This window comes from Homo sapiens, chromosome 9 (genome assembly GCF_000001405.40).
Source record: "Homo sapiens chromosome 9, GRCh38.p14 Primary Assembly".
Classification (NCBI taxonomy): Eukaryota; Metazoa; Chordata; class Mammalia; order Primates; family Hominidae; genus Homo; species Homo sapiens.
Genome location: NC_000009.12, coordinates 65500180 through 65516679, shown reverse-complemented (window position 1 = coordinate 65516679; position 16500 = coordinate 65500180). Strand labels below are relative to the sequence as shown.

Here is a 16500-nt window from a genome sequence, read left to right as displayed (position 1 = left end):
GGAATGGGCTTCTAGGCTCTGTGGCTGGAGATTCGCGTCCAGGAGAACTCAGGTCCCAGGGTAGGCAGAGAAAAACAGTGTAAGAGTGCCAACAGAATGCTTTGAAATGGAAAATTTTAAATGTTCCCTCCAAAAGGAGTCCCAGATAACCACACAAAAGAGGACTTTGCTGGGCAGGTCCATTGCAATTGTTCAATAACAAGACACAGACAGACTGGGCAAGAAGGAAGTTTATTTCCGCAGCCACTTACAGGGAGAAGCACCAGGTAATTCACCAGATCAATTCAAAGTTACAAGTTTTTTTTTTTTTTTTCTAGTGCTTATATACATCTTAAGCTCCACGTGGGATTGCACCTACAAGCAGGAGTGTTTCATTCAATCAACATCTAATCTTTAACTCGGGTCTAGCATCTGGAAAGATTTCTCTAGAGTCTTGGAAAGTTTCTGAATCCTAAGACAGGCCGAGGTGAATGTGTACCAATGCTATCATTATTCGATCAGACTTTAGGGTCTGAGAAAACCCAGGTGGGGTCTCAATGGGTTTGTTTTCACATTCCATCCCTGATACTCAGGCACAAGTTTCTCCATTTCTTTAACTTTAACTTATGCATTCATCAAAATTATAGTAAAGGGTTAGTAGAAACTGTTCTGGTTGCTATTGGAAACCTGGCCTGCCACACTGCCATAGGAACTGAAGCCCACTACAGAACATTGAAAATGCCTGCAAACACTGACTTTACTGACCAGTCAATTAAACTGCAGAAAAGCAAGCTCACGTTGCCTCCCTGATCTGTCCTCCAGAATTGCTAGTTAGAAACGTGCACATTGTCCTAGGTTCAGTTTTGCAAAGATGGAGCCTGGCAGTGAAAGCATTTGTTTGAGTTCATACATTAAGGTTTGCTTTGTCTATTTCTTTTATATTTATTTATTTGTTTTTTTTTTTTTTTTTTTTTTTTTTTTTTTTTTTTTTTGAGACAGAGTTTCAATCCTCTTGCCCAAGCTGGAGTGCAATGTGGCGGTCGCGGCTCACTGCAACTTCCGCCTCCTGTGTTGAAACGGTTCTCATGCCTCAGCCTCCCAAGTAGCTAGGATTACAGGCATGCGCCACCATGCCCGGCTAATTTTTGCATTTTTAGTAGAGATAGGGTTTCACCATGTAGGCCAGGATGTCCTTGAAATCCTGAGCTCAGGCAATCCACCCACCTCAGCGTCCAAAGTGCTGTGATTACAGGCATGAGCACCCTCAGCCGGCCTATTTTATTTTAAGATGGAGTCTCGCTCTGTCGCCCAGGCTGGAGCGCAGCGGCGCGAGCTCGGCTCACTGCAACCTCTGCCTCCGGGATTCAAGCGATTCTTGTGCCACCGCCTCACAAATAGCTGGGATTACAGGCGCCAGCCACCATGCCTGGTTAATTGTTTATTTTTAGTAGAGACAGGGTTTCACCATGTTGGCCAGACTGGTCTCGAACCTCTGACCTCAAGTGATCCGTCCGCCTCAGCCACCAAAAGTGCTGGAATTACAGGCGTGAGCCACCATGCCCGGCCCCATTTCCTTTATTTTATTTATTATTTCGAGAAGGAGTTTTGCTCTTGCCATCCAGGCTGGAGTGCAGTGGTGCGATCTCGGCTCACTGCAACCTTCACCTCCTGGGTTCAAGCGATTCTCCTGCATCAGCCTCCGGAGTAGCTGGGATTACAGGTGCATGACACCACGACCAGCTACATTTCCTTTATTTTATTTTTTTATAATTTACTAGCCTGTTTGTTGATAACAAGACTGGCGGTGCACAAGGTTGGGTCTCGGTGCTCACCGGGAGGCGGGCATGGACCAGGTGGGAGGGTCTCCAGCACCTGGTACAACTCTCCAAGAAAGCGCAGGAAACGGCACTAAGGGTGGTAGTAAAGTTTTGGTTTGGCGAGGCGGGTAGGCGTTCCAGCGCAGAAATGCGCAGGAAAGGTTTTGCTGTGCTTGTAGGGAGGTCATCCCCAAGCTCTTCTTATTGGCTTGCAGTGAGACGAGATCGCGCACTGCACTCCAGCCCGGGCTACAGAGTGAGACTCTGTATCCAAAAAAAAAATAGTGAATGAATATCTATTGATGCATGAAATGGCTGCATTAAAGGAAAACTAGCCAAGAAAAGACAAGGCAAAAAAAAGTCAAGGATCAGTATGAAAAATAAATATATTTTAAAAGATTTGTTTTTAAAGCAACAACACGGGTTTAAATTTTAAAGTGAAAGAAGTAGCTCCAAGATAGAGGAAACAGGATGGCTTCTGAAGAAGGGAATGTTATTCTTTGAAATGGAAAGAAATTATGACAAGAGGGTAGCACAGACTGAAGAGGTGGAGGTAAAAGGGGGTTCTCGGCCAGACACAGTGGCTCACACCTGTAATACCAGCACTTTCGGAGGCCAAGGCAGGTGGATCACCTGAGGTCAGGAGTTCGAGGCCAGCCTAGCCAACATGGTGAAATGCCGTCTCTACTAAAAATACAAAAATTAGCTGGGCATGGTGGCAGGTGCCTATAATGCCAGTTCCTTTAGAGGCTGAGGCAGGAGAATCGCTTCAACCTGGGTGCGGAGGTTGCAGTGAGCCAAAATCGCATCACTGTTCTCCAGCCTGGGTGACTGAGCAAGACTCTCTCTCAAATTAAAAAAAAAATTTAAAAAAGAGTGTGTTTGTGGGGGGGGGGGGTGGTATCTTGACTTTTCTCCATGTGTCTTAGGCCACAACTCTTACGTGGGACCTTGCAGAAGAGATTCCCCAACCAATACCTTTACGGCGCTGCCTCCCTGATGGGCTGGGTTCTAAACAGCAGTGCCTTCCCCATCTGCTCAGTCCTTACTCACCTGGGCACCATCCTCCCGGTACGTCCCTTGAAACCATCCAGGGCTCTTTCCCTTGCTCCAGTAAGGAAATCACATCAGGCTTTGGGATAGAGAGATCTGTTTATAAGAAAAGAAGTAAGATGGACAGGCAGGCATAGTGGCTCACTCCTGTAATCCCAGCACTTTGGGAGGCCAAAACAGGTGGATTGCTTGAGGTCAGGAGTTCAAGACCAGCCTGACCAACATGGTGAAACCCCGTCTCTACTAAAAACACAAAAAATTGGCCAGGTGTGGTGGCAGGTGCCTGTAATCCCAGCTACTCAGGAGGCTGAAACATGAGAATCGCTTGAACCTGAGATGAAGGTTGGAGTGAACCGAGATTGCGCCATTGCACTCCAGCCTGGGTGATAGAGTGAGACTTCATCTCAAAAAAGAAAGAAAGAAAAAGAAAGAAAGAAAGAAAGAAAGAAAGAAAGAAAGAAAGAAAGAAAGAAAGAAAGAAAGGAAGGAAGGAAGGAAGGAAGGAAGGAAGAAAGAAAGAAAGAAAGAAAGAAAGAAAAAGAGAGAAAGAAAAGTAAGACATACTCGTGCTGTTCCTGAATTCAAAGTTAGTCCCTTAGTAGTCACGAAGGACTAGAGGAAGGTGTAAAGGTCTGAAGCATGGAGAAGATGGAGGGACCCCAAAGAGCTGCCCATCTATTAATCTACAAAACACAAAACAATTCCCTAATCAGCAGGTGAAAAGTCACCCAGACAAGTGAAAGCTACACCCAAAATTCATGAGTTATTTGGGGATAGACATCCTTACCTAGTGAGACCAGGCTGCTATAGTTCTCCATCATTACATCTCTGTATCAGTCCTTCTGAGCAGCGTCCAGGCACTCCCATTCCTCCTGAGAGAAGTCTATAGACAGATCCTGGAACATGCCCAACCCCTGAAATGACAAACCCAGGCAGCACTGTTGAAATTAAAGGAAAGATTTTTAAGATGAAGGAAGAGATGGAAGGGTGCTGAAGGATGGAGAGAATACAGTGAGCAGACCAGCTAGGCTGAGAGTGGGGAAGAGTAAAAAAATTAGTGTAACTTCAACAAAGTACCTCCATGTTCATGAATCTTCCTGTTGTGGCCGGCAAACCTCCTTCATAGAAAGGGACATTCCCAGTATTCCATGGTTAGAGCTGGGAATGAATAAATACATTGGTATATGATTTCCCAAATAAATGAAATAGAGTTGAAAAGCACACAGCCTACGCCTGGCAAGGCTTCAAGAATATTACAGTAAACATCTGATATGCAAGTTACTATTTACAACAAAAGCTTAATAAATAGGCACTTCCCCCTTACCATTTTCTTTCTTGTTTTTTTTCTCTTGTTTCATTTTTTTGTTTTTGTTTTTGTTTTCACTTTGAGACAGGGTCTCGTTCTGTTGCCCAGGCTGGAGTGCAGTGGCAAAATCACAGCTCACTGCAGCCTCAACCTCCCAGGCTCAGGTGTTCCTCCCACCTCAGCCTCTGTATTAGCTTTTACTATAGGCATGCACCACCATACCCAGCTAATTTTTTTTGTATTTTTAGTAGAAACGAGGTTTTGCCATTTGGGCAGGCTACTCTCAAACTCCTGAGCTCAAGCAATCCACCTGTTTGGCCTCCTAAAGTGCTGGGATTACAGGGATGAGCCACCACACCCAGCCTTGTCTCTTTTCTTAAAGGAAGACTGTATCTTTCAAAAATATCTACAAAAAGTTTGAAAACCTCTATTGGCCGGGCACAGTGGCTCACACCTGCAAACCCAGCACTTTGGGAGGCCAAGGTGGATGGATCGCCTGAGGTCAGGAGTTCAAGACCAGACTGACCAACATGGAGAGACCATTTTAGTCTCTACTAAAAATATAAAATTAGCTGGGTGTGGTGGCACATGTCTGTAATCCCAGCTACTTGGGAGGCTGAGGCAGGAGAATCGCTTGAACCTGGGAGGTGGAGGTTGCAGTGAGCCGAGATTGCACCACTGCACTCCAGCCTGGGCAATAAGAGTGAAACTCTGTCTCAAAAGAAAAACAACAACAACAACAACAACAAAACCTCTATTGCACTTTGATAATTAGTACTTCCATAAAATAGTATAGATAGTACTTTGATAATTAAATGTACATTGGCTGGGTGTGGTAACCCACACCTGTAATCAAAGCACTTTGGGAGGCCAAGGCAGGTGAATTGCTTCAGCTCAGGAGTTCAAGATCAACCTGGGCTACATGGCAAAACCCTACCTCTACAAAAACATATGTCATATACAAAGTAGCCAGATGTAGTGGGACATGCCTCTAGTCCCAGCTACTTGGGAGGCTGAGGTGGGAGGATTGCTTGAGCCTAGGAGGTTAAGGCTGTGGTGAGCTCTGACCCTGCCACTGCACTCCAGCCTAGGCACCAGAGCAAGATCCTGTCTCAAAAAAAAAAAAAAAAAAAAAGGCCAGGTGTGGTGGCTCATGCCTGTAATCCCAGAACTTTGGGAGGCTGAGTAGGACAGATCATGAGGTCAAGGGATCAAAACCATCCTGGACTACATGGTGAAACTCTGACTCTATTAAAAATACAAAAATTAGCTGGGCATGGTGGTGCACGCCTGTAGTCCCAGCTGCTTGGGAGGCTGAGGCAGGGGAATTGCTTGAACACAAATGGTGGAGATTGCAGTGAGCCAAGGTCGTGCCACTGCACTCCAGCCTGGTAACAGTCAAGACTGCGTCTCAAAAAAAAAAAGAGTGGGTATCATGGTAGGAATAAACTGCACACAGGTCAGACAAAAGTTACAAGGGCATCTGCTAGTATAAACAAGTTTCCTGTGAGACACCTGGTCATGGGTCAGATACTTGAGCATTAGGCTGTGGTCCAGAAAAAAGAAATTTCTGGTGAAAGACTACTCTAAAGACCCACAGGCCCCTCCCCTAGAGCCCCATTAGAGTGAGGTAGAGTTTATAGCCATTCTCCTGAGAGACCTCAAGACCCAATTAGAAGAAAACTATAACATTTGTTATATAGAAGGCATTTTCCAAAGACTAGTTCAAAGATGAAAGATATAGTCTTCCTTTGGATATAAAACAAAATCTCAAGATACACCAAAACTGTTTTGCTTTTACTGAATAATTTTTGTGCATATGTGTTTAGCTGCAAGTGGCTAACAAGCTGTGATTTTCTTTCCTTTCCTTTCCCTTTTTTTTTTTCTTGAGACAGCCTTGCTCTGTCAACCAGGCTGAAGTGCAGTGGCCTGATTTTGGCTCACTGCAACCTCAGCCTCCCATAGCTGGGATTACAGGTGCCTGCCACCACACCCACCTAATTTTTGTATTTTTAGTAGAGATGGGGTTTCACTGTGTTGCCGAGGCTGGTCTCGAAATCATGGCCTCAAGTGATCCACCCACATTGGCTCCCAAAGTACTAGGATTACAGACATGAGCCACCATGCCTGGCCAACTCTGATTTTTTAACTTGTCTTGTGTATTAGGTTCATACTAGGAAAAAAACAGATCAGAGCCATTGGAGCCACGTGAACAGATATGCAGTAGCTCTGCTAGCAACATTGCTTCTTGCTTCAGCTCTTAAGACAGATGAGTTTAGCACGTGTCTGCCCTTGCTCTAGCTGTCTCTGATTCACCCCAACAGATGCACAATCATGTCACTCCATTAGATTCACTTTGGATATCCTATTATTAGATTAAAACCAGCAGGCCAAAACGATAACTTGAGGAAATGATTTCACATCCACAGTGTTCTCATAGGGCCAGTATCATTTAGACATGTCAGGACCATGGTTGCAGGGGAAAGAATGAAGTGTCATCCTTAACTGGCCACCTAATGTCATCAGCATGAACAGGAGGACTTTATAGGATATTATCTGATGTTTTCTGAATATTACCTTACAAATGCTGCTTTATTTATAGCTTAAGAGTAGGGACCCTGTCTTTTAAAGCTTTATACATCCTCAAGTAAAGGTTTTTCATATTAAATCCATTAATAATATCTAAAGGCCGACCTGGAAATTCCATTTCTAAGTATTCATCCAAAGTAAAGATTTTTTTTATTTTTTTGAGATGGAGTTTCGCTCTTGTTGCCCAGGCTGGAGTGCAGTGGTGTGATCTCGGCTCACTGCAACCTCTGCCTCCTGGGTTCATGTGATTCTCCTGCCTCATACTCCCGAGTAGCTGGGATTAAAGGCAGACACCACCACGCCCAGCTAATTTTGTATTTTTAGGAGAGATGGAGTTTCTCCATGTTAGTCAGGCTGGTCTCAAACTCCTGACCTCAGGGGAATCAACCCACCTTGGCCTCCCAAAGTGCTGGGATTACAGGTGTGAGCCACCACGTCCTGCCAAGAATTTTTTTTTTTTTTTTGAGACAAGTCTCAATCTGTTACCCAGGCTACAGAGCAGTGAGGTGATCACAGCTCACTGCAACCTCTGCCTCCTGGGTTCAAGTGATTTTTGTGACTCAGCCATCAAAGTAGCTTGGAATACAGGCACACACCACCATACCCGGCTAATTTTTTTTGGTATTTTTGGTAGACAGCAGGTTTCACCATGTTGGCCAGGCTGGACTCAAACTCCTGGCCTCAAGCAAGGCCACTTTGGGAGGCCAAGGTGGGCAGATCACCTGAGGTCAGGAGTTCAAGACCAGCCTGGCCAACATGGTGAAACCCTGTCTCTAACTAAAATACAAAAGGTAGCCAGGCCTGGTGGCAGGTGCCTGTAATACCAGCTACTCGGGAGGCAGAGGCAGGACAATCACTTCAGCCTGGGAGGCAGAGGTTGCAGTGAGCCAAGACTGTGTCACTGCACTCCAGCCTGGGCAACAGAGTGAGACTCTCTATCAAAATATAAATAAATATAAAAATACAAAAATGCCGGCACAGTGGCTCATGCCTGTAATCCCAGCACTTTGGGAGGCCAAGACAGGCAGATGACTTGAGATCAGGTGTTCCAGACCAGCCTGTCCAACATGGCAAATCCCTGTCTCTACTAAAAATACAAAAATTAGTCGGGTGTGGTGGATCACTCTCTAATCCCAGCTACTTGGGAGGCTGAAGCAGGAGAATCGCTTGAACCTGGGAGGCAGAAGTTGCAGTGAGCAGAGTTCATGCCATTGTACTCCAGCCTGGGCAACAAGAGCGAAACTGCATCTCAAAGAAAAAAAAAGAAAGAATACAAAAAATTAGCGGGGTGTAGTGGCGCATGCCTGTAATCTAGGCTACTGTGGAGGCTGAGGCAGGAGAATTGCCTGAACCTGGAAGATGAAGATTACAGTGATGAGACTGCACCACTGCACTCCAGCCTGGGTCACAAGAGCCAAGAGCGAGAATCCATCTAAAAAAAAAAAGAATTTCTATTTGGGGGACAAAATAAAAGAAATGGAGTGAAAGGGATGTAAAGAAATTGAAAGTCAACAGGCTAATAATGCCAATAAATAATGATGGAGCAAAGAAATCAGTATTGGCCAAATAAAACCAATGTGTTTTTTAATATTTTTTCAAAATTTAGACAAAGCTTTCCAGTACACTGAGACACTTCTCATATCAAGACTTTAATATTGCCTGAGTACAGTGGCTTATGCCTATAATCCCAGCATTTTGGGATGCCAAGGCAGGAGGATCACTTGAGCCCAGAAGTTCAAGTCAAGCCTGGGAAATATAGGGAGACATAGTCTCTGCAAAAGTAAAATAAAATAATAAAATAAAATAAATAAAATAAAAATAAAATAAAATAAACAAAATAAAATAAAATAAAATAAAATAAATAAAATAAAATAATAAGCCAGGCATGGTGGTATACATCTGTGAGCTGTGACAACCCCACTGCACTCTAGGATGGGTAACAGAGCAAGAAAGACCCTGTCTCAACAAAAAAACTAGAATATAGAATAAATGACATTTGGGTAAGTGGAATATTAGGTGTTCAATAAACACAGGTTATTCCCTCCCTATCTCCATAGAATCATCAATTTTTTTAAAGGAGAAGTTTTGATTAGAATCTAAAAATATCAATACTTCTCTTTCCAAAAAAGGAGGGAGAATTTAAATATAACAATTTCTTGGTTATTTCTATTTATTTTCATTGTTGCTTAATATTATTCAGTAATGAAAATGCAATTGCTCTCTTTCAAACATAGTTTTAACTAGTTGCACAAAATGCCACCTTGTAGTCTGAAGTACTTCAAATTTCCCTATCTATGAAAGCTAAATTTGGATATTATCATCTCAAGGATATTATAATCTCTGTGTTTAAATCTATCTAGGGTTCTACCTTTTCTGTAAGCCTTAGTGAGTCTCACTATAGTCCTCCTTCCCTTTAAAAATGCAGTGATAGGCCGGGTGCAGTGGCTCTTCCCTGTAATCCCAGCACTTTGGGAGGCTCAGCTGGGAAGATTGTTGGAGCTCAGGAGTTCAAGACCAGACTGGGCAACATGGCAAAACCCCATCTGTGCAAAAATTACAAATATTAGCCTGGCATGGTGCCATATGCCTATAATCCAGCTACTTGGGAGGCTGAGGAGGGAGGATCCCTTCAGCCCCGGAGGTCAAGGCTGCAGTATGCCCTGATCCTGCCACTGCACTTTTGGAGGCCAAGGCAGGTGGATCGCCTGAGATCAGGAGTTCGTGACCAGCCTGGCCAATATGGTGAAACCCTGTCTCTACTAAAAATACAAAAATTGGTCAGGTGTGGTGGTGGGCACCTCTAATCCCAACTATTCAGGAGGCTGAGACAGGAGAATCACTTGAACCCGGGAGGCGGAGGCTGCAGTGAGCCGAGATTGCACCACTGCAGTTCAGCCTGGGCAAGGCAGAGTGAGACTCTGTCAAAAAAAAAAAAAAAAAAAAAGAAAGAAAAAGAAAGAAAGAAAGAAAGAAAGAAAGAAAGAAAGAAAGAAAGAAAGAAAAAGAAAAAAAGAAAAAGAAAATCAGTGATAGGTGAGACAGCTCATGCCTGTAATCATAGAACTTTGGAGGCAGAGGTGGGAGGATCACTTGAACTCAGGAGTTCAAGACCAGCCCAGATAACATAGTGAGTCTTCTTATCTACTGAAAAGTATTTTTAATTATGCTACAGTGCTAGTGTGTGCCTCTGGTTTCAGCTTATTTGGCAGGCTGAGGTAGAAGGATCACTTGAGCATCGGAGATGAAGGCTGCAATGAGCTGAGATGGTACCACTGCACTCCAGGCTGGGAGAGAGAGTGAGACTCTACCTCAAAAATAAAAATAAATACATAAATAAAAATTCAGCGATGGAGTTGATGGATTTGAGGTTGAGGACCCCCAATGTGAACCCATTTGGAAAAAACTCAACCTGTGTTCTTCCTCTGCTTCACACCAAAACCACAACAATCTACCCAGAAGACTTCTGTGGCCTCAAAATATGAGATTTCTTCCTATCAGCAAGCAAGGAATCAGTTCTGCAACAGACACCAGCTGGGTATCCACCAATTCGATTCTGACACTATCTACCATGAGATAGTGTCACCCCATCGATTGAGAGCTCAGCCCCCAAAACTGCCCCCCTTTCAGACACCAGTCACAAGTCCCAGCCTCTGGAACTTCTGACTGACAGATTTAATTTAGGGTTCCTACGACCCCCTCTTTGGGTTTGATTAATTTGCTAGAATAAAATGGCTCACAAACCTCAGGGAAACACATTTACTGTTTGATTACAAGGATATTCCAAAGGATATAGATGAAGAGATGCCTAGCGTGAGGTATGGGGGAAGGGGCACAGAGCTTCCATCCCCTCCCTGGGCACGACCCTCCAGGAACCTCCATGTGTTCAGCTCTCTGGAAGCTCTCCGAATCCACTCCTTTTGGGTTTGTAAGGTGGCCTCATTACATAGGCATGATTGATTAAACCATTAGCCACTTGCCATCAACTTAATCCTCAGTCCCCTCCACTCCCCAGGGGTGGGAGGTTAGGGGCTGAAAGTCCCAGCCCTCTAATCCTGCCTTGGTCTTTCTGATGACCAGCCCACATCCTGAAGCTATTGGTCAATCCCTAACATATAAAAAGCCAAAGTCTGGGTGCAGTGGCTCATGCCTGTAATCCCAACACTTTGGGAGCCCGAGGCAGGCAGATCAGTTGAGGTCAGGAGTTCGAGACCAGACTGGCCAATATGGTGAAACCCCATCTCTACTAAAAAAGAAAACAAAGACAAAAATTAGCCGGCCATGGTGGCACATGCCTGTAGTCTACTTGGGAGGCTGAGGCAGAAGAATTGCTTGAACCCAGGAGGCAGAGGTTGCAGTGAGTGGAGATTGCACCACTGCACTGCAGCCTGGGTTACAGAGCAAGACTCCGTTTCAAAAAAAAAAAAAAAAAAAAAAGCAAGCCCTTAGGACATTCCAAGGATTTTAGGAGTTGTATACCAGGAAACAGGGACAAAGACCAAATCTGTATTTGACAAAAATCACAGAACCGTATGAGTTTTTAATTCAATACAGACATGGAAACTGGTCCAAGCATTTACTCACAGATGACTGGGCAAATCACTGGTCCTATGGGTACAAATTATTGATCAAACCCCCAATCTCATTCCTACCCCTAAAATATAGCAAAGGGAAAGATCTTATTACCTATTTGGACTGAGATTAACACCATCCCTTAAACTGCATGTCTTTCAATCCCAGGGCTATGGCATGTGATGCCACATAGAATATGCATGAATCTTCTCTCCAGCAATTGAGTTGTTAGGATAAAGGCTCTTGTCTTTGCCTTCTTTCCCTCACAGCCAAGAATGTTAAGGAACGTGGACACAAAGGATGAGGTTGGAACAGAAGTTTAATATGCAAAAGAAGAAAGCTCTCCCCAGCGGAGAGGGGACCCGAAAGAGGGTTGCCAACTAGAAGGCTGAATCTGGGGGTTTTGTGAACTGGGAAGGGGAAGAATGTGCTCACTAGTCTGTGACCTGTCTTGGAGAAAGCACAACTTCGCTTGGCCCGGGACCTTAGCTTGGGACCAACCAGAGGCTGAAGTGAAATTTTGGCCCAAGACCAAGCAGGGGCTGAAGTGAAAGTTTGGCCCAGGACCAATCAGGGGCTGAAGTGATGATTCATAGAGGCTCGGCTCACAGTCCAAAGCATGTCCAGAAAAGGAAAGTGGTCACCAGAGCCTGTTAGTCCAAGCTGCACCGATTTGTAAGCCCCCACCATTTCACAGACCCTGGTCAGAGGGAAACATTCCACTGGGGTTTGGGCTGCGAGAAACATCCTCCCCAACCGCCTGACTTCCTTATCACATCCTGCTGGGGAAAGGCCCAAGAAACATCCTTATCAACATGCTCCCAGGCAACAAGCTATACTGCCCAGATCCCTCCTGCCCAGGCCTATAATTACTCCAGCCTGTAAGCGGCAGTGGGCTCTGGCATTTAGTTGGTCCCCTCCATAGAGCTGCCAACTCTCTCTCTTTCTTTAACCTTCACCTTCCCTTCAAAATCTAACAGAGCCCACCATATACATGCCCACAAAAAAGCGACTATTTCCTGGAAGCCCACTGGTCACACAAAGGACAAAGGCATTTCTATGTTGGGCCTCGGTCCCCTATCAATGCAGCTGAGGAATGTCTTTAGGACAACCCCCTTTGCTAGTTTTCCTTCTCTGTGCCTGCAGCCTGATTTTTCAGGCTGTTTCTCTGTTGAAAGGAGTTTTACCAAGGACCCGCTCTAACTCCCTAAAGGGTTTTTTCTCTCAAGGGGACACACAAATTTCCAATCGCACACATGCCTCCCTATATCCACTTACCCTCTGCCTCACAGCCAATCACACTCTCCTCTCTCACACAGACCACGGGGCCACACAAGTTGCACCTGCACAGCCACAGACCTGCAACTCATGCACACACAGTACTGCACACACACGCAAAGTCACACACCCACCTTGGGACACGCAGCCCCCACTACACAGTCACCGGTTGTCCACATCCGCACACACAGCGCGGCTCGTCCAGGACACACACATCCACTCCGAGCGCGCACAGTCACAAGCGCCCACCTGATCACCCAGAGTCAGCACCACACAGCCACAGTCACAGACCACGAAGACCCACGGCAACCATGGCAATCACACACGCAAACTCCTCTCCTCAGCCCTCCACACACAAAAGGACCAGAGCCGGATTCCTCATCCTCAGCTTTCTCTAGTTCCGCTCGGGGCCGGCCTGGCCAAGTTACTCCGGACTCCAAGGCGTGGCAGCAGCTAATTGGGCACAGCGAAAGATTCTGCCACCTGGCTAAGAGGAAGCCAAAATCTCGCGAGACATGGTATTGGCCCGCAGAATCCTCCGGGAAATGTAGTCCAGAGCCCGACTGCTCCCCTGCTAAAAATACAAAAATTAGCCGGGCCTGGTGGGCACCTGTAATCTCAGCTTCTTGGAAGGCTGGGGCAGCAGAATCGCTTGAACCCGGGAGGTGGAGGTTGCAGTGAGCCGGGATCGCGCCTTGCACTCCAGCCTGGGTGACAGAGCGAGACTCCGTCTCAAAAAATAAGTAAGCAGACATGTCTGCTGCCCACATGAGGTTTACATTCTAGTCTGGAGAAAAAAAAAGATTTTAAATTAAAAGGGGAAGATGAAGTAATTTTATATTGTGATAAATACTATGAAATATATCAATAGGTGGTATAGGCAGTAACTTGAGGGATACTTCCCGTAGCATTGATAGGACGGGTGTCTGAGAGATAACCCTCGAGCTTTGGTGGTGAGGAGCCAGCAGTGTGGAAGGGTATTCCAAGCAGAGGCACAGTTACACTGAAGACCCTGAAAAATCAGAGAGCGCTTGGATCGTTCCAGAAACAGAAAGCAGCCTGGTGTGACTGAAGCTTAGCAAGTGAGTGGGAAATTAGTTTAGATTTAGGATGTAGAAGTCAGCATTTTCCGATTCATATGAGAAAATGATAGTGCTGAGATTACAGGCATGAGCCACTGCACCCAGCCCCAAACCAAGTTTTTATAGCAGCAAGAATAGATACTCTGGTATGGTCAGCGTCTAAAGATTTTACAAACAATATCTCTTCTTTTAGTTTGCAGTCATTATTGAAATAACAAACATGTCCTATTGTCAGGCCTTACTCTCAGTAACTGATTTCATTGATCTGAATAGGAAACTTACTTGATTAATCAGCTACTCTTTGGTATTACCTGACATCTCATTAATGCATCTTTGAATTGAATTATTGCTCAATAGGAGTGATTGTGAAATAGTGGTAATGTGTTACATCACTATTGAAGTTACCGTCTCTCATGTGAGTCTTGTGACAGTTTCAGCAAGTACAAAGCACTATGGGGTTTTACAATGATTTCTGTAATCTTTTCTTTTTTTCTTTTTTTTTTTTTTGAGACAGAGTCTCACTGTGTTAGCCAGGCTGGAGTGCAGTGGCATGATCTCAGCTCACTACAAGCTCCGTCTCCGGGACTCAAGTGATTCTTCTGCCTCAGCCTCCCGAGTAGCTGGGATTACAGGCATGTGCCACCACGCCCGGCTAACTTTGTATTTTTAGTAGAGACGGGGTTTCACCATGTTGGCCAGACCGGTCTCAAACTCCCGACCTCAGGTGATGCACCTGCCTCGGCCTCCCAAATTGCTGGGATTACAGGCATGAGTCACCACACCTGGCCTATTTCTGCAATTTTATAAGGCAATTATTTCATCATAATTTGTTTGCTTATCCTTTTTTTTTTTTTTTTTTATACCGAGTGTTGCTCTATAGTCCAGGCTGGAGCATGGTGCTGCAATCTCGGCTCACTGCATCCTCCACCTCTCAGGTTGAAGCGAGTCTCCTGCCTCAGCCTCCCGAGTACCTGGAATTACAGGTGCACACACCATGCCAGGCTAGTTTTTGTGTTTTTAGTGGAGACAAGATTTCACCATATTACCCAGGCTGGTCTCCAACTCCTGGGCTCATGTGATACACCCACCTCGGCCTCCCAAAGTGTTGGGATTACAGGTGTGAGCCACCTCACCCCACGGCTTGTCCTTCTTAAATAAGAAGTAACAGTGTTACAGTTCAAAATTCTATTTTAAACTTTTTAAATATTCTGTTTCTCGACTTTATCAGGATGTTTCTTTTATTGATGATCCACAAATCTTGATGATTTCATAGCCATTTGTAAAAACAAACAAAAACTATTATTTATAAGAAACAAGCTGTTTTGAGTTAAATGGGGTTTTCAATAAAACTGTAAGCTAGGCTGGGTGCTGTGGCTCACACCTGTAATCCTACCACTTTGGGAGGCTGAGGTGGGTGGATTGCCTGAACTCAGGATTTCAAGACCAGCCTGGGCAGCAGGGTGAAATCCCATCTTTGCTAAAATACAAAAAATTACCTGGGTGTGGGGGCAAGTACCTGTAGTCCCTGCTACACGGGAGGCTGAGACAGGAGACTTGCTAGAACCCAGGAGGTGGAGGTTGCAGTGAGCCAAGATCATGTCTGCATTCCAGCCTGGGCAACAGAGTGAGTCTCCATCTCTAAAAACAAAAACAAACAAACAAAAAAAACAAAACCAGTTGGCCAGATATTCATTCATTCAGATGTAGTCAACACTTTTCATTTTCAGCACTTAACACAATTAATGCTAGGTTGAATTACTTTCATAAGATAAACTATTTTAAATAATTCCCAAAGCACTGAGGATCAATCATAAATACTATCCACAAGGCAGCCAATAGACACACACAGACCACCTCTCATATAACTTTGGGATAGAGCATTCAATCAAGAAAAAGTCTTCCAGGTATAGCCATCAATTTGCCATCATTTTGTAGCACTGATCTTGCAAAGATTTTTTTTTTTTTTTTGAGGTGGAGGCTTACTCTGTCACGCAGGATGAAGGGCGGTGGCACGATCCACTCACTGCAACCTCTGCCTCCTGGGTTCAAGCGATTTTCCTGCTTCAGCCTCCCATGTAGCTGGGATTACAGGCAGGTGCCACCACTTCTGGGTAATTGTTTTGTATTTTTAGTTGACACAGGGTTTTACTATGTTGGCCAGGCTGGTTTGAACTCCTGAATTTCAGTGATCCACCTTCCTTGGCCTCCCAAAGTGCTGAGATTACAGGTGTGAGCCACCGTGCATGGCCTGATCTTGCTTGGATTTTTTATCTTCCATAAAATGATTAATGCTGCCCATCATATATGAGAGAAATTAAATAACAAGGGGTAAAATTTTGTGCAATAGGCCAGGCAAGGTGGCTTATACCTGTAACCCCAGCACTTTGGGAGGCTGAAGCAGGCAGATCACTTGAGATTGGTAGTTCTAGACCAGCCTGGCCAACATGGTGAAACTCTGTCTCTACAAAAAGTACAAAAATTAGCTGAGCGTGGTAGTGTGTGCCAGTAATCCCAGCTACTTGGGAGACTGAGGCAGAAGAATCGCTTGAACCCAGGAGGCAGAGGTTGCAGTGAGCAGAGATTGCAGCACTGCACTCCAGCTTGGGTGACAGAGTGAGTCTCCTTCTCCGAAAAAAAAAAAAAAATTGTGGAAGGCCACAAACCATTGCAACAACTATAATTCATTTTACCTTCAATAACCAATGTTCACCCTCTTAGGGGCAATATCACTCCCATTAAAAATGCTTGGCCAGGCACAGAGGCTCATGCCTGTAATTCCAGCACTTTGGGAGGCCAAGGGGGGCAGATCCACTGAGGTCAGGAGTTC

The 16500-nt window shown here is 45.0% G+C and overlaps 1 long non-coding RNA gene across 1 annotated transcript in view; it reads left to right on the top strand.

Annotated features, from left to right (window-relative positions):
- LOC124902170 (uncharacterized) overlaps positions 1-13185 on the top strand; it is a 42854-nt gene extending 29669 nt beyond the window's left edge. Inside the window, exon 3 of the long non-coding RNA XR_007061552.1 lies at positions 11583-13185. This is a non-coding gene — a long non-coding RNA (uncharacterized LOC124902170). The remainder of the gene's footprint in view (positions 1-11582) is intronic.
- The last annotated feature ends 3315 nt before the right edge of the window (positions 13186-16500 follow it).